This window comes from Homo sapiens, chromosome 3, assembly GCF_000001405.40.
Source record: "Homo sapiens chromosome 3, GRCh38.p14 Primary Assembly".
NCBI classification, from domain to species: domain Eukaryota; kingdom Metazoa; phylum Chordata; class Mammalia; order Primates; family Hominidae; genus Homo; species Homo sapiens.
In genome coordinates, this window is record NC_000003.12 from 128577028 (window position 1) to 128600199 (window position 23172).

A 23172-nucleotide genomic window follows, 5' to 3' on the forward strand; every position below is an offset into this window, starting at 1 on the left:
TCCTGACCCTGGGCACCAGGCTGGTCTCGGCTTGCTCACTCCACCCCTGCATCCCTGCATCGGTTTTTCATCACCACTAATGCAGGAGGCTGAGGAAGAATTCTGGAGTCTGGTGGAGGATGGGGAAGCTGACCCTATTTCTATAGGTACCTCCCTCATTTTTGTAGGATGGCTCCAAGTCAGCCACCGAGACTGCCCCCTCTGCACTAACCATTAGCCAGCACTACCAGGATTGGCCAGCTTGCTCTGTGCCACTTGTTTTATTTATTTGTTTGCTGGAGACAGGGTCTCGCTCTGTCACCCAGGCTGGAGTGCAGAGGTGCAATCATAGCTCACTGCAGCTTCCACCTCCTGGGCTCAAGTGACCCTCCCACCTCAGCCTCCTGAGTAGCTGGGACTATAGGTGGGCGCCACCACATCCAGCTTTTTTTTTTTATTTTTTGCAGAGACAGGGTCTCGCCATGTTGCCCAGGCTAGTCTTGAACTTCTGGCCTCAAGCCATCCTCCTGCCTCAGCCCCCCAAAGTGCTGGGATTACAGATGTGAGCCACTGCACCTGGCCTATGCCACTTGTGTACTCCACCAAAATAAGCTTGATTCCCTGACTTCGGTGGCTTAAGATGGCTGAGCTCTCACCCTCTCTGCCCAGGCCCCTGCCCACCTGCCCTCTGCCCCAACAGCCACCTCTGCTAGGCTGCTTCCTCCTACTCAGGCAGGGTGGATGGTTCATTGTGTGGCCCCGGATCCAGGTTCCCCCACTGCCTCCCTGAGTGACAGGGCTGCCCTTTGTGGAGGGGGAGATTAGAGGCGGGCTGGAGGCTGCGCAGCCCTCCCTGGATGACAGGAGACATCAGCCCCGCACACCGCAAGGGCCTGGAGCGAGGAAAGCCTTGACAGGCCTGGAGGGGATCCAAGAGGGGAGCCAAGGAGGGGGCAGGCTCCTCACACACAAAGGCCGGGCCTGTCTTCACACCTGCGGGGATGAACAGAGCCCAGGGCCGGGAGAGGTGGGGGCTGTGGGGGGATGAATAATTCGCTCTGAAAGAAGCATGTCACAGGGAGATAGCTCAGCCAGACACTTCAAATAAAGGCAAGCAGCCGTGGTGACAGGGGACATTCTTTGCCACCGATGCACCGCTGGGACCTAAGAGCTGAGATGTTGTGAAAGAAAGGCGCCTTGAACCCTTCATAGTTATTTTTATTTTAAAAAAAGAGAGAGAGAGAGGGAAAATAACACCACAGAAGCAAGGATGGGCCTCGCAACGCGGAGAAAGGCCAGATAATGAGTTCTGGCACCTTAATTTCACTTTTGTCAGAAAGAACGGTGCTTCCTGGGCACACCTGAAGAACCAGGTCTGCTCATTCTTCCTGTCTCGGCATCTCTGGCCACCCTGTTCCCTGACCCAGGGCACCTCCACCCCACCACCCCTCCCTCCACAGACTCCTCCCCAGGGTTCCAGAGCCAGCACCGAAGGCCTCTCCTGCCATGAGGCCCACCCCAGCAAACACCTGGGTTCATGCCCCTCCTCCCAGGCGACCTCACTCAGTCCTCAGGCGGTGACCTCACCTTTTGACATACTTCTCCCCACCACTCAGCCAAGCCCTCAGGAGCGGGCAATCCCATCCCGTTCTGTCCCACACCCCTCAGTAGAGCACACTGTCCTGTACACAGCGGCCACGCACTACATGTCATTGATGAGAACAATCACAGTGGCTTCTTTTTTCTTGGGAAAATAAGACAATGAAGCTACAAATACTAGTATTCTCATGGAAAAAAATGATGCCCTCAGTGTCCACTCACAGAGGAATACCTAAATAAGTTAAGACTGAACCCAGCATGGGGCCATCTGGAGCCACACAAAAGAATGAGGCTGATCTAGATATGTTCATGTGTGTGGACATCACGGACTTCAGTGGGGACAGCTGCAGGATGGCACATATATACGCATATACACAAACATGGATATATATATATATATATAGCACAGAAAAAGGTCTGGAGGATTCCCCCAAAACCATGAACCGTGGCTACCTCTGCAGTGTCAGGATTTAGTGAGACAAGGGGAGGTGAGGGAACTGCACTTATTATACATACTTCGGTATTATTTTAACTTTTTACATTGAGTACGTATTGCTTTTGTAATTGAAGAATATATATATATATATATATTCTTGGCTGGCTGTGGTGGATCACACCTGTAATCTCAGTGCTTTGGGAGGCTGAGCAAGAGGATTGCTTGAGGCCGGGTGCGGTGGCTCATGCCTGTAATCCCAACACTTTGGGAGGCCGAGGCAGGTGAATCACCTGAGGTCAGGAGTTCGAGACCAGCCTGGCCAACATGGTAAAATCCTGTCTCTACTAAAAATACAAAAATAGCTGGGCATGGTGGCAGTCGCCTGTAATCCCAGCTACTCGAGAGTCTGAGGCAAGACTCAACCCTGGAGGCGGAAGTTGCAGTGAGCCGAGATCATGCCATTGGACTCCAGCCTGGGCAACAAGAGCGAAACTCCATCTCAAAAAAAAGAGGATTGCTTAAGCCCAGGAGTTCAAGGCTGCAGTGAGCTATGATAGCACCACTGCCCTCCAGCCTGAGCTACAGAGCAAGTCTTTCTCTCTCTGCATATATATATGTGTGTGTGTGTTGCATATATGTATATATATATGAGAGAGAGAGTTGCATATATAGGTTTAGTTCTTGCTAAACCACACCAATTAAGAATTAAGAATACATACATAGATGTGTGTATATATGTATATGTTGTGTATATCTATTATATATCTACATCTCTATCTCTCTCTATAGATAGGTAGATAGATAGATAGATAGATAGATAGATAGATAGATAGATAGATAGATAGGTGTGGTTTAGCAAGAACTAAACCTTTTCCTAAGCTGGGACTCCGAGGCATGGCTTTGGTCCAGGAGGAAAGAAGCAGCATTGGTGAACCCAACTCAAGTGCTCAAGGACAAGAGGGGAAGGCTTGGCCCAGGCCTCAGCTACCATCCTGCTTTCCAAGGACAGCAAAAGTTCTGCCTGGATTCCTCCAAGCTGGCTTCTGCTTGTGCCTCATTGGCCAGAACAGGGTCACATGACCAACCTAGCTGCAAGGGAGGCTGGGAAGCAAGCAGGTTGTCCTGCCAGGCTTAGACCAGGCTGACTCTGACCCAAAGGACCTCCCACCTGCTTAAATTTCCTCTTGCTTTGGGTCTACTGCCAGTTTTTCTCTTCTCTTGAAACAAGAGAACTCTCTCCAAAGGCAAACCCCGTTTCTGTTCATGGAAACTCTCTCCAGCTACACCCTGGGAACGAGTTTCTGTTGGCATTATTCAGGAATATTTCTCTGTGTGTGTGTGTGTGTGTGTGTGTGTGTGTGTGTGTGTGTGTGTGTGTGTGTGTGGTTTAATTTCCTCTGGACACATCAAAATTCTCTGCATTTCATTATCACCACCTGCCACCAGGAGGGGACAGGCTGCCTGAGAATGGAGCCAACAGGAAAGAATTCAGAAGGAAGCCCAGATCTGAGAAACATGGAGTCCTGCTGACCCAATGAGCCCCTAAGTCCGCCATGCCTGCAACTACCCCTGATTTTCTTTTTTTTTTTTTTTTTTTGAGACAGAGTCTCGCTCTGTCGCCCAAGCTGGAGTGCAGTGACGCGATCTCTGCTCACTGCAAGCTCTGCCTCCCGGGTTCATGCCATTCTCCTGCCTCAGCCTCCCAAGTAGCTGGGACTACAAGTGCCCGCCACCACGCCTGGTTAATTTTTTTATTTTATTAGAGACGGGGTTTCTTCATGTTAGCCAGGATGGTCTCGATCTCCTGACCTCGTGATCCGCCCGCCTTGGCCTCCCAAAGTGCTGGGATTACAGACATTAGCCACCGCGCCCAGCCAACTACCCCTGACTTTCTAAATGAAAGAACCAATAAATTATTTTTCCCTCTTTATGTCAGTTTGGGTTGAGTCAGTCTCTTAAAACCAAAAAAAAAAAAAAAAATCCTGAGTCCTACTGTAGAAATTATCTTTGAGCTGAGTTTATTTAATATGTACCTTGAAACAGGGTAGTTTTATCCTGGTGGGCAGGTGTATGTGGTGGCTTCTGTATATATCTATATAAAACCCAGGTGTTCCTCGGGGTCGCCCTGACTTTGGAAGCTCAATGTGGGGCCATGCCACCGAGCCTTCATCCTGTGGCCTGTCCAGGGCTCTCTCCAAGATTTCTCCTGGTGCCCTGGTGGCTGCTCTTCTCCTGATCACCTGTGACTCCGTGTGGACCCACGTTCTCACTCATCTGCCACGTCCTTCATCTCTGCACCAGCCTGAAGGTAGAACTGCACTGCTTCTCCTTAATCCACCCTGTGCTCCCAAGATGGCTCACCTAAGACACCTGAGTGGATTTTACTGATGATTTGGGGCACTTTAATGATAGCAGTGTAAACCTTCATCAAGTAGGAACACCCTAACTCACAGAGATTTATAGAAGTGTAAACCAGAGAGTATCTGGGGTAGGCCTCAATCAATTTAGAAGTTTATTTTGCCAGGGTTAAGGATGTGTGCCTAAGAGACAAGTCTATGCCTTTTTCCAAAGATGATTCTGAGCACTCCAATATTTAAAAAGGAAAAGCCAGCTGGAGGGGACAGAGGGAAGGTGTGGTCTCATTACTGAATCCAAATGTTGCAAGAGAAAAGAAGCAGGTAGGGGCACATAGTCACTAATGAACTGGCCTGGTGCTCACTATAAGATAAGGTGAATGGAGAGGAGCTACCTGTGGAGATCTTTAACTTTTTATCTGTCACTATCTGCTTAGGAACAAAAGGAAAGGCAGCTTCTTGCATAACTCAGCTTTCAGCTTAATTTTTTTTCTTTTGGCAGAGTGAATTGGTGTTCTAAGTTTTTATTATCCCTTCACAAAAGCAATTAGGAGCCCAGCAATAACCCCATCACCAAGATTCGTTTGTGGCTCCCTTTTCCGTGGCCTGGCGCCCCCTTCCTCCCACCCCTCCCCCTCTCTTCAGCTCTCTGCCCTCCCAAATCACAGCTTCTTTCTTTTTTCTTTCTTACTTTTTTTTTTTTTAAGACAGAGTCTTACTCTGTTGCCCAGGCTGGAGTTCAGTGGCGCAATCTCAGCTCACTGCAACCTCCGCCTCCCGGGCTCAAGCAATACTCCTGCCTCAGCGTCCTGAGCAGTTGGGATTACAGGCACGCACCACCACGCCTGGCTAATTTTTGTATTTTTTAGTAGAGATGGGGTTTTGCCCTGTTGCCCAGGCTGGTCTCGAACTCCTGGGCTCAAGCGATCCGCCTGCTTCAGCCTCCCAAGCAGCTGGGATTACAGGCGTGAGCCACCGGGCCCGGCCATCAAATCATAGCTTATTTCTTCATATGACAGTTAGCTCTGTTTTCCCGTCTCCTTCCAAACCACAACTCATCCCCTTCCAGCATACTTCAAGAAGGTGTTTTGTTGAGTAATGGGGGTTCCCTCCCTAAGAGGAATCCTGGCTCTGGCCATTTGGGCTTTACTTGTGTCTCCGGACTCTTGCATTCTCTCTTAAGCACAGGGATTACTAGATGTGTGGGGATCAACTGTAAAGAACATGGTTTCTGAAACAGCAAATCAAACCAATTTGATTGTGCAGGAGAAATAGAAGCCTGTCGACGTCTAATCTGAAAGAACAGCTATATTTACATACCAAGGCAGATTGCAGGTCAAAGTGTCATCAATTTGATGTTGATCAAATCTTGGGAAATTTCTGATGTGGTTTCTGGTGACACAGAGTGGCGGCAACATAGCCTGTGTGCAGGAGGCTTCTCACCTCCCCTAGGAAGAGTTGAGATATTCACAGCAACCCACAAGCAGCCTCCTCCACCAGCATGAATGGTGGCAAGGAGCATGGAGGCACCGAGCCTTGAAGAAAGAGGCTGGGAGTGAGGACCGTCTTAGAAAAAGGGGCTGACCTTCTTTGCCCGAGTTGTAGAGCTGTGGGGAACTCTGGGAACATCCAGATGCCTTCCGGGAAAGGGAGATCTCCCCATCTCTGCATCCCACCCACACTCCCCACCTTAGCCACTCCCCGCCAAACCTCCAGCCCCAGCTGCAGTGCATGGTGGTGTTATTTCCCAACAAGGCAACAGCCTCCTCACTTGGTTTTCCTGACTCCAGTCTCTCCCCAACCCATCCCCGCTTCAGATGGCAGCAATTTTTCTAAAGCACAAATCTGATGCTGCTTAAAATTCACAAATAAGGCAAAGTCCACAGACGCTGAGACAGGATGCAAGGTCCTTCTTGGCCCACCCACCAACTGTTCTTGCCTCCTCTGCCTGGAAACGCCCACCTTGAAGGTTGCAGTGGCCTCAGCATCCCTGTGGCTCTTCCGCCTGGGCCATTGTGGAGCCAAAGTCACGCCAAAAAAGAGCAGCCTGAAAGAGGCCCCTGCAGAGTGGGTGCTTTTTGAATGTCATCCGTTATTCAAGTTCTCCACCCTGGTTTCATCCTCCCCCAATCCGAGACCCTTTACCCCAACGTTGTCCCTGTCATTTTATTACTAGTCTCCATCCACCAGAAATGTGCCTTGGCACCTGCCTTCCATCGCCTTCGGGCACCTCATCTCATGCTGGACAGAGACCTTCCTGATCACCTACCCTAGCTGCACCTTGCCATCACTTGGGGAAACTAGAAAGTGGTTCTGATCTCCTCCATCTGGGGAGGGGCATTTGGAAACTCTCTGAGATTCCAGGGTGGAGACAGGGTGGAAACCCCTGGTGGGAGAACAGGGTGTGCTTGGGGCGTCACTAGCTGGTGGGATTCTTCAGGCCGCAGCATGCAGTTCGCAGTCTACACTTGCAGAAAAAAAACATCTGCCTGGATGGTTTCCTATTTATAGAGGACAGGGATATTCACATGGATGGATAGAGTGCATGAGACCCCTTGCTACATCCTTTTTCCCTGCACTTCCTCCCTTCCACCCTTCCAGCCCTGTGGGATCATGGTGGGGAAGGGGTCAGCCTCGGAAGATGCCCTTGGAGAAAGGCCTGGGAGATGCCGTGTGTGACCCGAAAGAGGTCAGGGGACATTTTACCTAAGACTTGCTTCATTGTTAAGTTTTTTTCTTAAAGGTGTTGATCTACGCAGTGTAAACACTTGCAAGCTCCCATCATTGGTCACAAGGCTGTTTGTCTTGTAGTCATTGTTTATGGTTCTAGAAGGCTCTCTCCCCGTGGAGGGGAAGGGCCCTGGGACAGAGATCACAGGAGTTCTTAGGGGGCACTCGCTAGTAGCCTCCTTCCCTCTGCTGATGGGGCCTTCCTCCCAGGGGATCTTTGGGCCTTAATGCCGTGCCTTTGAGGCCTGGCCCAGAGCCCCTCAAAGAGCCAGGCGAGGAGAGCTGACCCAAGTGGAGTCAGGCTGAATTTTCCTTCTCAAGAGAAGCACATCCCAGCCACTGTCCTTTCAAAGGCCATCAGGCCGGCCGAAGACGAGGATGTAGCAGACTGGCTCACAGCAGTACCCACTGGGGCGGAGCTCCAGCCTGCAGCTGTGCCAGGGCCGGGCATCTCTTCCCTGAGTGGTGGCTGCCCCCATGAGGGCAAAGACTGCACTGGCTCTTCCTGTGCAGGCGAGAGCGGGCTGGGAGCAGGGACACCACGTGGAGGCAGCCCTGGTGGCAACGGGGCTCAGGGGAAGTTTCTGGGCACAAGGAAGCCTGGGGATGGGGGACTTAGGAGGGAAGCCCCAGCCAGGCTGCTGTGCAAGGGGGAGGCCCGTGGGGACCCTCTCCAGGAGTACAAGGAGGGTCAAGGGAGGGGCCGAGTCAGCTCTGTGGAAAGTTTCTTGTTTTTGTTGCTTGCTATTCGTTTTTCTCTTTTTGTTTTACCTTTATTATAAAAAACATCAAACTTTTATGAAAGTAAACAGAATAATATACTGACCCCATATACCCCTGGGTTCAACAATTATGGACATGAGCCAGGGTCACTTCGTCTATTACTGCTGCACATTTGCCGCCCCCGTATCATTCTACAGCAAACTGTATATATCATAACATTTCATTTGTAAGTCTTTTGGATGTTTATCTAAAAGAAAACAGAAACTTTTTAAACATAACCATAATACCATTATGACACCTTAGAAAATTAGTGCCATCTCCTTGACAGTCTCAGAAATCTAGTGTAATGGGTTAAGTTGTGTCCCCACCCCCCAACAGAAAGCTATGCTGCAGTCCCACTCCCCGGACCTCAGAATGTGACCTTATTTGGAGAAAGGGTCCATACAGAGGTAACCAAGCTTAAATGAGGTCATTAGGGTGGGCCCTGATGCAACATGATTAGTGTCCTTATCAAAAAGGGAAATTTAGACAGAAACAGACACGCACAGAGGGAAGACTAGCAAAGTGACACAGGGAGAACGCCACATGAGAAACGATGCTGCCACACGCTAGGGAAAGTCTGTGGCCACCAGAAGCTGGGGGAGGCAAGGAGGGACCTTCCCAAGCGCCTTTCCAGGAAGCGTGGCCCTGCCAACAGCTGATATCTAACTTCTAGCCCCAGAATGGGGAGAAAATAAGTTTTTGTTATTCTAAGAAACCACTCAGTTTATGGTACTTTGCCCTAGCTAACTAACCTGGTCAGTATTCAAATTTCCAATTATCTCACAAGTGTCACTTTTTTTGGAATCATGATTCAATGAAGGACCCCTGCTGCAACTGGTTGATGTGTCTTAAGACTGTTTTAATCTCCTTCCTTCCTTTCTTTCATTCTTTTTTTTTTTTTTTTTTTTGAGACAAAGTCTCACTCTGTCACCCAGGCTGGAGTGCAATGATGTGATCTCGGCTCACTGCAACCTCCACCTCCCAGGTTCAAGTGATTCTCATGCCTCAGCCTCCCCAGTAGCTGAGATAACAGGCACAGTTTTGCCATGTTGCCCAGGCCTGTCTCGGCCTCACAAGTGATGGGATTACAGGCATGAGCCACTGTGCCCAGTCTCCTTCCTTTCTTTCAATGTATTTGTTGAAGAAAACCATGTTGTTCATCCCCTAGAGTTTATCCTGATGTGCTTTTGCCGTTTGCACCATGATGGCATCATCTAACACCTCACGACTCAGGGTGAGTAGTCTGTGGGCCAGCAGCACGGCCTCCCCGGGGAGCGTGCTAGCAATGCAGAATGTCTCAAGCCCCACCCAGACCTGCTGTACCAGACTTTTCACCCGGCAAGCCCGCCAGGGACTCATGAACACTCGGAAGCCTGAGAGTCACCGGGCCGCACATTCTTTCTCCTTTGCATTTCCTGAATCGGTAGTTGGATCTATAGATGCTTGATTGGATTCAGATCTGATTTTTTTTTGGCAAGATCCTCTCTAGGTGGCAATCATTCTTTCATCAGGAGGCATATCATGGCTGCCTGTGCCTCTTTTATAATATTAGCAGCAATCGGCTGGGCACCATGGCTCACGCCTACAATCCCAGCACTTTGGGAGGCCGAGGCAGGGGATCACCTGAGGTCAGGAGTTCAAGAGCAGCCTGGCCAGCATGGCGAAACCCCAGGTCTACTAAAAATTCAAACAATTAGCCGGGTATGGTTGTGCATGCCTGTAATCTCAGCTACTCAGGAGGCCGAGGCAGTGAGAATCACTTGAATCTGGGAGGCAGAGGTTGCAGTGAGCCGAGATTGCGCCACTGTACTCCAGCCTGGGCAACAGAGCGAGACTCCATCTCAAAAAAAAGAAAAAAAAAAAAGAATTACCTGAGACTGGGTGATTTATTAAGAAAAGGATTTTGCCGGGCATGTAATCCCACACCTGTAATCCCAGCACTTTGGGAGGCTGAGCCGGGTGGTCACCTGAAGTCAGGAGTTCAAGACCAGCCTGGCCAACGTGGTGAAACCTTGTCTCTACTAAAAATACAAAAATCAGCTGGGCGTGGTGGCGAGTGCCTATATCCCAGCTACTCGGGAGGCTGAGGCAGGAGAATCACTTGAACCTGGCGGGTGGAGGTTGCGTGAGTCAAGACCACACCACTGCACTCCAGCCTGGGCGACAGAGTGAAACTCTGTCTAAAAAAAAAAGGAAGGGAAAGGAAAGGAAGGGAAAGGAAAGGAAAGGAGAAAGGAAAGGAAAGGAAAGGAAAGGAAAGGAAAGGAAAGGAAAGGAAAGGAAGGAAAGAAAGAAAAGAAAAGGGTTTTAAACTGGCTCACAATTCTGTACAAGAAGCATGGTGCCAACATCTGCTTGGCTTCTGGGGAGACCTCAGGATCCTTCTAGTCATAGTGGAAGGAGAAGGGAAGCAGGCGTGTCACACAGCAAGAGAGAGAGCGAGAGCAAGAGAGAGAGAGAGATAGAGAAAGAGAGAGAATGGCGGAGGAGGTGCTACACACTGTTAAACAACCAGATCACGCAAAAACTCAGGGCAAGAGCTCACTTGTTATGAAGGGGATGGCCCAAGCCATTCATGAGGGATCCAGCCTCATGATTCAGACACCTCCCTCCAGGCTCCACCTCCAACATTGGGAATTACATTGCAACGTGAGATTTGGGCAGGGATAGACATCTAACCTATATGACCTGCATACTATCCTTGCTTTCTAGTGCTACTAGATGTCCTCATCTTGCTCCTCTTCTGCCCCAGACCTGGAATCAGCCATTTGTCTGCCAACCCCTGGTTTCTTTCAGTGGGGAATGGTGTTTAGAGAACACAATTAGAACATAAGGGTGCTTACCTTTGGCCTTGTTTTCAGGCCTCTCATTGAACAGCCAGGAAAAAATACACGTAACATCTTAGCACAAAATACACAAGTTCAGCCAGGCACAGTGGCTCACGCCTGTAATCCCAGCACTTTGGGAGGCCGAGGCATGTGGATCACCTGAGGTCAGGAGTTCGAGACCAGCCTGGCCAACGTGGCGAAACCCCGTCTCTACTAAAAATACAAAAATTAGCTAGGTGTGATGGCAACGCCTGTAGTCCCAGCTACTCGGGAGGCTGAGACAGGAGAATTGCTTGACCCCAAGAGGCGGAGGCCTCAGTGAGCCGAGATTGTGCCACTGCACTCCAGCCTGGGTGACAGAGCAAGACTCCGTCTCAAAAAAAAAAAAACAAGACAATCACATTCACTACCCTGGGATTTTTAATTTAACCTTTTGCATCTCACGTGGTGTATCTGCTTTCTCTCATGCCACAAACCTAGGTTCACAGTGACATCAGGAGTGCTCGAGTTGGAATAGCCCAGATCTGCTCATTTGCCTCCCCCGGCTTGGCGAGCTCAGACCTGTGAGCTGTCGTAGGGGGTGACAGAGAAGCTGCACGAAAGAAACTCCAGGGCTTCCTGGAGTGCCTGAGGAGGAAGCCCTGCACACCGGCTGGGGCTCTGCAGGGGGCCTCAGGGCCAACAGAGCCAGCTGAGTTGAGGTGAAGCAACGTGAAGTGTCACCATGGGGAATGACAGGAGGGAGTCCCACCTCGGGATTGAGTAGGAGACCACGTGAGGAGTGAAGAAGGGCCTGAGGGGTGAGACATCTCTGGCCTGTGAAAGGGACTGAGGGTGGGGCCCTTCACACTGGAGAGGGGCCATAACTACTTCCATTTGTGGGGCCCACCAGAATATTAAAAAAAAAAAAATTTTTTTTGAGACAAAGTTTTGCTCTCGTTGCCCAGGCTGGAGTGCAGTGGCGCGATCTCAGCTCACTGCAACCTCCACCTCCTGGGTTCAAGTGATTCTCCTGCCTCAGCCTCCCAAGTAGCTGGGACTACAGGTGCCTGCCACTGCATCTGGTTAATTTTTGTATTTTTAGTAGAGATGGGGTTTCACCAGGTTGGCCAGGCTGGTCTCGAACTCCTAACATCAGGTGATCTGCCCGCCTTGGCCTCCCAAAGTACTGGGATTACAGGCATGAGCCACCACCATGCCCAGCAGAATATTTAAAAATTTCTAAATCCCAAATTACAGGATGTTTTAAGTGTTTCTGTTTAACACCTTAAAGCTGTTATGAGGAAAAAAAAAATATTGCAATGTAATTATACTCACCCAGATCATTAGAAGATCTATAAACATGTGTATATATTAATCTGGAGTCACTATAAGGAGTGAGAACAGTAGTGAAGCATGAATTTACGCTGAATGAGAAATGCCCTTCTTTCAGCTCTGTTAGCGAATCTCTTTGATTGTATGTTCAAATTCTTTTGTTTCATTTTCATTTTCAGTTTTTAAAATAAACTTTATTTTTTAGAGCAGTTTGAGTTTCATAGTAAAATTGAGCAGAAAGTACAGAGTTCCCATGTGCCCCCTGCCCCCACACATGCCCAGTCCCCCCACATACACACTATCACCATCCCCACCAGAGTGGTGCATTTAGCACAATCAATGAACCTGCCTGGACCCATCATCACCACCCAGTGTCCCTCACTCCCATGAGGGCTCACTCTTGGTATTGTGCATTCTATGGGCTTGGGCAAATGTATAATGGCACATAATCACCATTGTAGAATCACATAGAATGTTATCACTGCCCTAAAAACTCCCCCATATTCTGTCTATTCATCCATTATCCCCACCATCCCCTTCCAGCCCCTGGCAACCACTAATCCTTTTGCTGTCTCCATAGTTTTGCCTTTTCCAGAATGTCATAGAATTGGAATCATCTAGCATGTAACCTTTTCAGATTCACTTAGTAACAGGCATTCTTCCTCCATGACTTTTCATGGTTGAGATAGCTCATTTCTTTTTAGCACTGAATGATATTTCATTGTCTGGATGCATTCCAGTTTATCCATTCACCTACTGAAGGACATCTTAGTTGCTTTCAAGTTTTGGCATTATGAATAAAACTGCTCTAAACATTTGCATGCAGGTTTTTGTGTGAACATAAATTTTCAATTCATTTGGGTAAATACCAAAGAGTGTGATTGCCGGATTGTATGGTAAGGGTATGTTTTAGTTTTGTAAGAAACTGCCAAACCGTCTTCTGAAGTAGCTGTGCCATTTTGCATTCCCACAGCAATGAATGAGAGTTCCTGTTGCTCCACATCCTTGCCAGCATTTGGTGTTGTCAATGTTCTGGATTTGGGCCATTCTTATAGGTGTGTGGTAGTATCTCATTGTTGTCTTAATTTGCATTTCCCTGATGGCATATGATGTTGAACATATTTTCCTATGCACTTTGCCATCATCTGTGTATCTTCTTTGTTGATGTGTCTGTTCAGATCTTTCGCCCATTTTTAAATTTGGTTATTTGGTTTCTTTTTTTTTTCTTTTGAGACAGTGTCTCACTCTGTCACCCAGGCTAGAGTGCAGTGGTACACTTATGGCTCACTGCAGCCTCAATATCTCAGGCTCAAGCAATCCTCTCACCTCAGCCTCCTGAGTAGCTGGAACTACAGGTGTGCACTACCATGCCAATTAATTTTTGTATTTTTTGAAGAGACAAGGTCTCGCCATGTTGCCCAGGCTGGTCTTGAGCTCATGGCTCAAGCAATCCTCCCACCTCGGCCTCCCAAAGTGCTGGGATTATAGGTGTGAGCTAGAGCACCTACCTGTTTTCTTATGGTTGTCTTAAGCATTCTTGGTATATTTTGGATAATAGTTCTTTATCGACTATGTCTTTTGCAAATATTTCCCCTCATTGTGTGGCCCATGTTTTCATTCTCTTGATATCCCCCTCTTTCAAGGAGGATGTTGAAGGCTTGAGTTAAGATTCACCACATGCAATAGGGATCAGGCCTCCACTGTCCTGTGCCCCACGGTCCCCAAGGAGAGAGATGGGGCCTGTGAAGGAAAAAGATGGACCTCAATAGAAGGGAGGCTGGGGCCAGAACCTGCATGGAGGCTCCTCCCACTGTGGAGAAGTTGCAGAGGGGAAAGTCGGGCCCCCTGAGGAAAAGCTAAGTGTGAGGAAGGGGAGTTTAGGGGTGTAGGAAGCTGAGGCTGTTGGAGAAAGCTTACCTGGGAAAGGGAGCCCCGTTAGGAAGAGGAGACCACGTGAAGCCGTTGTCCCGGAGGCAAGGGTGACACTGCTGGCAAGTCCTGTGGGCCCAAGCCCCAAGGACCTTCCTTTGCCAGGACAGGCAGATGCTAGAGCCAGCCTGGCCTAGGGTGCGGAGGCGACACCGCTCCATGCAGTCACTAGGGGTCCCTCTTAAGCTGCTCCTACAGCCCAGCCCTCAAAGGAACACCAAGTGGGACATGCTGCTGTTCCTGGCACTTAGGACAGTCAGGTCCTAAGAGGGCCAGCGGTCAAATGGGAATGTCAGGTTTCATTATGCTCACCTATGCCACACATCCTGGAAAATCAAGACCTTTTGAATCTACAATCCAACTTTAAGCCATTCCTAGGGCCCAACGTGGGGAAGTCACGTTCCAGAGAGAACCTTCACTTAAACATTTCATGACTTGGCCGGGCACAGTGGCTCATGCCTGTAATCCCAGCACTTTGGGAGGCCGAGGCAGGTGGATCATGAGGTCAGGAGTTCAAGACCAGCCTGAACAACATGGTGAAACCCCATCTCTACTAATACTACAAAAATTAGCCAGGCGTGGTGGCACACTCCTGTAATCCCAGCTACTCGGGGAGGCTGAGGCAGGCGAATCGCTAGAACCCAGGTGACAGAGGTTGCAGTGAGCCAAGATAGCGCCACTGCACTCCAGCCTGGGTGACACAGTGAGACTCCATCTCAAAAAAAAAATTCCTGACTTGACAAAAGGAGCCGTTTTAAGGATACATCCATGAGATTGTTTGCATGTGATTTCCCTTTTCAAAACCCACACACCAGAAATAATCAAGGAGGTAAACATAAAACCAGGCAGGAGCCCAACCTGCAAATGTCTCTTTGGGCCTGAGTTGTTGCCAGTTTCACAAAAATTCATCAACTGTCAAAGCAGAACTACAGCTCTATCTGCACTGCCCCAGGAAGAGCAGGAGCTGTCACTGTGCCCTGACTGTAAGATCGCAAAGTGAAAATCTTAGCCAGACTTCTCAGCTCCCCATCTATCTACAAATAAACCAAATAAGGAACCTAAACTTTAACTGTCCTGGCTCAAGACCACCTTTTTGGCTTATTAAAGCCAAGAGATCTTCACTGGAGGTCACACTGGGCACCGTTGGTCAGATGGAAGGGTGTAGGGAGAAGAGAAGAGGAAAAAGTGAGGGCAGAGATCAATGTTGAACAGCATTCTGAGTCACCAACCTGCAGATGTCACAAGGAGGCCTGTGGTGCCACCGGAAGGAAGCACGCTGACACACACATGCACAGGGTCTGCCCTGTGACAACCAGGCAAGGACTCCTTCTGTCTTAAGGACTCCTGACCTTGAGGTGGACACAGGTGCTCCTAAGAGCACCCGGAAGCCCCTGATCCCAAATACTTCCTCTGTGTCTGGAATTCCACCATGAAAGATTCTGTCTCCTGGAGCACACACAATAAAAAAAAAAAAAACTGGAATCAGCCCAAATGTGCATAAATGAGGGACGGCTTAAATAATCTACGATACACACTTACAATGGAACACTACACAGCTGTAAAAAAAAAAAAAAAAAAAAAAAGAGGGAGGAAGCTGGGTGCGGTGGCTCATGCCTGTAATCCCAGCACTTTGGGGGGCTGAGATAGGTGGATTACTTGAGGTCGGGAGTTCAAGACCAGCCTGGCGGCCATAGTGAAACCCCATCTCTACTAAAAATACAAAAATTAGCCAGTGCGGTGGTGCATGCCTGTAGTCCTAGCTACTCCAGAGTCTGAGGCAAGAGAATCGCTTGAACCTGGGAGGCGGAGGTTGCAGTGAGCCGAGATCGCGCCACTGCACTCCATCCTAGGTGACAGAGCGAGACTCCATCTCAAAAAAAATTAAATTAAATTTAAAAGAGGGAGGAAACGCTTACCAATGGGTCTCCAAGAAACACTATCCCATGAAAAGAAACCAAGGTGCAGAACCCTGGGCATGAGAAGGAAGGGGAGGATGTATCTATGTATCTGCTTGTGTATGCAAAACCTCTCTCTGGAAGAATCCACAAGGAACTGACAATACTTGTCTCTACAGAACATAACTGAGGGCGGGGTCAGGCCACGGGAGGAGGGGGCTTGCACTGCATGCTCTTTTGTGCCTTGTGAATATTAAATCCCATGAATTCAACAGAAGTCTTTTAACATAGATTTAAATTTTAAAAGGAAAGGAATGAAAAAGATCTCTACGTAGAGACATGGAAAGATGTACAGGATTTGTGATTCAATGAAAAGTGAGTGAATAACAGTGTGTCTAGTGCACTTCAATGTGTTTAAAAAAAACAGGAAGAGATAATAGGATATTCACATATATACTTGTAAATATATAGAAAAAGTCTTGAAGACTACACTAACAAACAGAGGACCCTGCTGGGGAAGATGGAAAAACACAGATCTTTCACTTTTTACCTCTTCTGTCATCTTTAATTTTTTTTAAGAAGCATGTATTACTGTTCTAATAATAGTAATACAGAAATGGTGAAGGTAAAAGGAAAGGCCTGGTGGCTGTCACATGGTCCTGAGATGGTACTGGCTCCTCCTGTCCTAGCCATCCCTGACAGGCAGCACAATGGTGGCAAACTAACCCACGATGGGGCAGCTGTGCCAACCTCCAGGTCTGCTATAAAGCTCACATAAAGAGGCTGGTGTGAGCAGCTCCAGCATGGAGCCCAGCGCTGAGGTTTCATGGGCAAGGGCAACAGGAGGGAGGCTGTGGTGTGGGAAGTGCTGGTAATCTCACTGCAGTGGGATATGCACAGCAGCACAGGTGATAGAATTGCAGAGAACTAAATACACAGTGCACACGTGCACACACACACATACGGGCGCACCATGGGTGTGCAGACAGAGCTAGGGAAACCTGCAGAAGATAGGACGATTGAATTAATATCAATATCCTGGCTGTGTGTCCCACTGCAGTTTTATGAGATGTCACTGTCAGGGGAAACTGGGTGAGCGGTACATGGGATTCCTCTGTATTACTTCTTACAACTGCATGTGAATCTACAATCATCTCAATCAAGATTTCAGTTTTTAAAAACACAGAAGCAACTTGCAGCCTCATTAACTTTGCCATGATCAGATGAGGCATTCCAAGAGTTGAGGCCACAGCACAGATCGGGGAAATGAGACAAGCCCCTGCAAGAGGGTGAGGGAGACTCAGGATCCACATGTGTCCTTGGGTGCTGCTTCCTGGGCCCCCCGAGAGGAACCATCACAGGGCCCTCGCTGCAGCACACGGGGAGCTGGGCCTGAGAAGGAGGACTTCATCCAGGGAGGCGAGTCCCATAGAATAGGAGCACACAGGAGAAGCACACTGGCCAAGGAGGTCTCTCTCCACCCCCTTGGAGTGCAGCAGAAATACCAGGGTCTCCCATCTGTGATGCAGGCCTGGCTCAAGGCCCAGCATGCCTTTGGGCAGGGGACTTCAGCTCCAAGTCTCAGCCCTCCCCAAGTGCGTCACACTATGCAGTGGGGCCTGCCGGGAGGGTTAGCAACACTGAGGCTGGATGTGCTGGTGGTGTCTGATGTGTGGTGGATGCTCAGGAAACATGGTTTTCCTCCCCTCGGCACCAAAAGGAAAATGAAATTGATGAGCAGAGTCCTGTAGTCTTCTGAGGATCGTCCCTTCTACCTTTTCCCAGAGCCCCTTCCCTTTAGGGAGAAAACACTCAGAAAGACAAAACTGTGTCTGCTCCAGAACATCCCATCACATCCCGGACCAGAGCCGCTTCACTGGAGCAGCGGTGCTTTTGCTTATAAGGAACATTCCCAGCCTGCTCAGCATCGGGCCAACCACCGAGCTGGAAACAGCAGTGACTCGGCCTTTGCCACCTCCAGGCAGACCTCTGCCCTGTGCCTGTTTCCTCTTTGTAACCTAGGGTTGAGAACTCCCAGGACGAGCATGAAGATGAAATGAGATAATATAGATGAAAGGGCCTTGCACACAGCAAGTTACTTGCTATTACAGCATTATTATTGATCCATTTGGTTACAGGACACATCTCCCCTCCACTGTCGCCTGTGGGCACAGACCGATGTCCCAGTGGAGGGAAGATTAAATGGTCATAGTAACACTTACATAGCAGGGCACAGCTTCAAGTGCTGGGCTTAATTGATTCTCACAACAACTGCACGCAGAAGTTACTGGTGTGATCCCCACTTTCAGGTGAGGAAAATGAGGCACAGGGAGATCAAGCCACTGACACGGTTTAAACTTCCTGGCCAGGAGAGGTGGCTCAAGCCTGTAATCCCAGCACTTTGGGAGGGCGAGGCAGGCAGATCACAAGGTCAGGAGTTTGAGACCAGACCAGCCAATATGGTGAAACTCCATCTCTACTAAAAATTAGCTGGACGTAGTCGTGAGCGCCTGTAGTCCCAGCTCCTCGGGAGGCTGAGGCAGGAGAATTGCTTGAACCCGGGAGGCAGAGGTTGCAGTGAGCCAAGATCGTGCCACTGCACTCCAGCCTGAGTGACAGAGTGAGACTCTGTCTCAAAAAAAAATAAAAATTAAAAAAAAAAAAACTTCCCACATAGCCCCAGTCAGCAGGCACCAAGCAGCAGCCACCTTCCTGCGTGGAACATATGTGCACCAGTTTGCCAAAGTCCCCACCACTTCCTATTGCCACCTGTCATGGAAGCTGAGATACTGCTTTCGTTTTTAAAGGCCCTTACGCTGTTGCTCTTCGTGTGGTGGAGGCACCGTTTCTTGTTCCACATTCACACTGTCTGGTTTAAGGAGATTAATGTGGACACACAGGCCAGGGCAGCACCTTTCACAAAGACTCAAACAGGCCTGGCATTCCTGAGTTGTACAGTGTGGCAGCTTGATCTGGTGTCAGGTTTGCACTTCTGGGGCCTCAGTGGGACCACTGGGAAGGGAGAGGCCAGTGTCAACATGATGTAATGGAGGACAGCCCTCTGACCGTGCACACTTACCTCAATTCCTTTTTTTTAAGAGTTATTTCTCTGTGCCCAGCAGTGCCCTCTCCTCTTTCAAAAATCAGAAAAGCTGCCTGGGTGCTGTGGCTCACACCTGTAACTCCAGCACTTTAGGAGGCCGAGGCAGGCGGATCACTTGAGGTCAGGAGCTCGAGACCAGCCTGGTCAACATGGCAAAACCTCATCTTTACTAAAAAATACAAAAATTAGCCAGGTATGGTGACCTGTGCCTATAATCCCAGCTACTCGGGAGGCTGAGGCAGGAGAATTGCTTGAACCCAGGAGGCAGAGTTTGCAGTGAGCCAAGATTGTGCCACTGCACTCCAGCCTGGGCCACAGAGCGAGACTGTCTGAAAAAAAAAAAAAAAATTAGAAAAGCTGAAGTCTTTGGTCCCCAAGTCATAGAAGACGAAAAGAAAAACGGAAAAGAAAAGCTGGGCGGGGCACAGTGGCTCATGCCTGTAATCCCAACACTTTGGGAGGCCAAGGTGGGCAGATACCTTGAGCCCAGGAGTTCGAGAACAGCCTGGCCAGCATAGCAAAACCCTGTCTCTACAAAAAATACAAAAATTAGCCAGTGTGGTGGTGTGTACCTGTGGTCCTAGCTACTTGGGATGCTGAGGTGGGAGGATTGCTTAAGCCTGGGAGGTGGAGGTTGCAGCGAGCCAAGATTGTGCCACTGCACTCCAGCCTGGGTGACAGAGTGAGACCTTGTCTAAAAAAAAAAAAAAATGCCAGGCACAGTAGCTCATGTCTGGAATCCTAGGTGGGCAGATCATCTGAGATTGGGAGTTCAAGACCAGCCTGGCCAACAAGGTGAAACCCCATCTCTACTAAAAATACAAAAATTAGCCAGCCATGGTGGTGGGTGCCTGTAGTCCCAGCTACTCAGGAGGCTGAGGCAGGAGAATAGCTTGAGTCCAGCAGGCAGAGGTTGCGGTGAGCCAAGATCACGCCACTGCACTCTAGCCTGGGTGACAGAGTGAAACTCCGTCAAGAGAAAGAGAGAGAGACAGAGAGAGAGAGAAAGAGGAAAGAAAGAAAGAAAGAAAGAAAGAAAGAAAGAAAGAAAGAAAGAAAGAAAGAAAGAAAGAAAGAAAGAAAGGAAGGAAGGAAGGAAGGAAGGAAGGAAGGAAGGAAGGAAGGAAGGAAGGAAGGAAGGAAGGAAGGAGAGAAGGAAGGAAGGAAGGAGAGAAGGAAGGAAGGAAGGAAAGAAGGAAGGAAGGAAGGAAGGAAGGAAGGAAGGAAGGAAGGAAGGAAAAGGAAAGCTGAAGTCTAACACCTAATCCCTACATACAAATGGCTTCACTGAGACCAGAAATCAGAGGAAGCACTGAGGAGCAGAGGCAGCGGTCCTGCTTGCAGGGTCTTAGGTCTATTGTCCCATTACTCCTGACAAGGTAGTTGCTATGAGTCCCCCCACTCCAAAGATGGAAAAGCTGAGGCACACAGAGGGTAAGTCATCTGCCAAAGGTCATTGAGCCAGGAGGTTGGCCAGGGAGATCTCTGCTCACCGAGTTGGGACTGAGGAGTGGCAAGGGGGAGAGTAGTGTTTAGGGAGACCCACTGCGTGCCTGCCACCAGGCTAAGTGCCCTCTGCACTAAGCTACTCTCATCCTCGAGCAATATTAAGAGGCTGGCATCGTGCACCCAATTTTAGAGATGAAGAAGCAGGGCCTCCGGGACCAGAAGCCTCAGCTCACACAGGATTGAGTGCAGAGCTAAGGCTAGAGCCTGTCTGCCTGGCTGCAGGGCCTAACCCCTGGAGAGAGAAGACAACATCACCCTGCTGGTGCTGTCCTCTCAGCCCCCTCCATGCCCTGGGCACTGGGGCCGGATGCCCAGCAGGGGGTGGTGGCCTTGGCCCTGGGCAGACATTCTAGAAAGCCAGCAGTTCATTAGGTCCCCTGCTCCAAAACACAAGGGCCATGCTTGAGACTCATGGGTGAGGGCAGGGGTCTGCTGCTTCTTCCAACCCCCACAACCAAGATGGGCAGGGTGGACACTGGTGTTTCTCAGGCTCCTGTGAGTGCCCAGCCCTTGCCATACCAACCGGTGACAGATGTTGCTGTCCCAGCTGCTTCTCCACGCCTGGTGCAGCCCTCCAGCGAGCTTTGTCAGGCCTACATGGTGATTCAAACACATCTGAGTCAACATATAAATATCAAAGGATTGCACTTTTTAAAATCCAAATTTCACATTTCTCTAGGAAAAAAGTAGATCTGCCAGCCCTAGGCCCATACTCTCACAGATCCCCAGTCAGCTAGTGCTGAGCAGCAGCTACCTCTTTGCGTGAAACATGTGAGCATCAGTTTGCCCCAGTCCCCGCCACCTGCAGCCGAACTACTGTTTTCTTTCTTTTCTGGAGGCAGAGTCTTGCTCTTTCACCCAGGCTGGAATGCAGCGGTGCGATCTCAGCTCACTTTAACCTCCGCCTCCCGGGTTCAAGCGATTCTTCTGCCTCAGCCTCCCAAGTAGCTGGGATCACAGGCACGTGCCACCACGCCCAGCTAATTTTTTGTACTTTAGAAGAGATGGAGTTTCACCATGTTGCCCAGGCTGGCCTCGAACTTCTGATCTCAGGCCTCCCAAAGTACTAGGATTACAGGTGTGAGCCACCACACCCAACCCTACTGTTTTCATTTTTAAGGGCCCTTATGCTGTTGGTCTGCTTGTGGTGGAGGCATAGTCCTTGGTACCCATGTCTCCATCAAAAATTGGAAAATAGAAAATAAATTGAAGGGCCTCAAGTCTTATTCTGTGGACATGCAGAATGTTCACGTGCAGTCCATCTGCAGACGCCTGTCCTGTTCACTATGTGCAGCACCGCTGGGCCAAAGCTCCCTCTCAATGTGGTAACGGCTGCGCACTGCTCCTCCCCAGGGGGGTAATGTTCAGCCAGGTATTTAAGAATGGCACCTCCGCAGTCCACCCCCCCAACACAGCAGGGGCCCCAGGAGGCTTGGCGTCTGCGATCTCAGGTCTCAGGGCCCTCAGCCCTGCTCCCCAGGCCGTGCACACAGGGCTGCCTGGGTTTGAGGGTGCTCTTCCGTGGGCTCCATGCTTGTGGCGTGCATCTGCCCCAAGGCAGGCCGAGCCTGGGGCTGGGTCCTCTCTACCAAGCCCCTGGCACTTCCCGAAAGGGCTGCAGATAATGCAGCGAAGATGGCTGTCAGCGATAAGGACGATGATGACACCGACAAACGGCACTGCCCGGAAGCTTCCCGAAAGTGATCTGAGATGCATCTTCTGATCTGTGAACCTCCACAAATGAGAGTCCCCTACTTTCAGTTTGGGCCTCACATAATCGCTGCCAGAAACTATTAAAAATATATTTTATAAACTATCCCCCTTGCCCTGTTCATTTATTTCTGGAAATCTAGTCTTAGAAAGTCATTAAAAAAAAAAAACAGATAAAGGGAGGGGAAGAAAAAAGAAAAAGTTATGTTCATGAAAATGTCCACTGGGCAAGGACACACCCAAATGATCATGGTGGGAATGCGGTTTTGTGGGGAAATGTTTTGTTTGTTCATTTTGGTTTTGTTATTTTTAAAACTTTCTGCAATGTTATATCACTTCTCAGAATAAATAGATACAGGCCGGGAGCAGTGACTCACGCCTGTAATCCCAACATTTTGGGAAGTCAAGGCAGGAGGATCACTTGAGTCCAGGAGTTCAAGACCAGCCTGGGCAACATAGTGAGACCCCCATCTCTAAAAAAAACTTAGCTGGGTGTGGTGGCACACACCTGTAGTCCCAGCTACTGGAGCAGAGAGGTGGGGGCTGAGATGGGAGGATTACTTGAGCCCAGGAGGTTGAGGCTGCAGTGAGCTGTTATCATGCCACTGCACTCCAGCTTGGGCAACAGAGCGAGATTCTAACTCAGAAAATAAAATAATAAATAAATGCAAGCCAGGTGTGATGGTTCACGCCTGTAATCCCAGCACTTTGGGAGGCCAAGGTGGGTGGATCACCTGAGGTCAGGAGTTGGAGACCAGCCTGGCCAACATAGTGAAACCGCATCTCTACTAAAAATACAAAAAAAAAAAAAAAAATTAGGTGGGCACGGTAGTGGGCGCCTGTAATCCCAGCTACTAGGGAGGCTGAGGCAGGAGAATCATTTTGAGGCAGAGGTTGCAGTGAGCCGAGATCGCGCCACTGCACTCCAGTCTGGGCAACGAGAGCAAAACTCCATCTAAATAAATAAATAAATAAATAAATGCAACTTTAAAACTTCCAGGCCACCTGTGGTCCCGCCAGG

The 23172-nt window shown here is 49.4% G+C and overlaps 1 long non-coding RNA gene across 1 annotated transcript, besides 2 other annotated features; it reads right to left on the reverse strand.

Annotated features, from left to right (window-relative positions):
• Window positions 1-12177: 12177 nt before the first annotated feature.
• LOC124909430 (uncharacterized) lies at window positions 12178-15493 on the reverse strand. Its single transcript, XR_007096077.1, has 2 exons — window positions 15164-15493; window positions 12178-13745 (listed from the first exon to the last, which is right to left on the reverse strand). It is a non-coding gene; the product is annotated as an uncharacterized LOC124909430 (long non-coding RNA).
• Window positions 13510-14010: an enhancer, noted in NCBI's record as "H3K4me1 hESC enhancer chr3:128309380-128309880 (GRCh37/hg19 assembly coordinates)". NCBI's record gives its function as "activates a minimal SCP1, AML or CMV promoter by ChIP-STARR-seq in primed H9 embryonic stem cells {active_cell/tissue: H9 hESC(primed)}" and the evidence as "EXISTENCE:reporter gene assay evidence [ECO:0000049][PMID:30033119]".
• Window positions 14979-15273: an enhancer, noted in NCBI's record as "tiled region #3129; HepG2 Activating DNase matched - State 8:EnhW". NCBI's record gives its function as "activates a minimal TATA promoter and a strong SV40 promoter by Sharpr-MPRA in HepG2 cells {active_cell/tissue: HepG2}" and the evidence as "EXISTENCE:reporter gene assay evidence [ECO:0000049][PMID:27701403]".
• Window positions 15494-23172: the final 7679 nt, after the last annotated feature.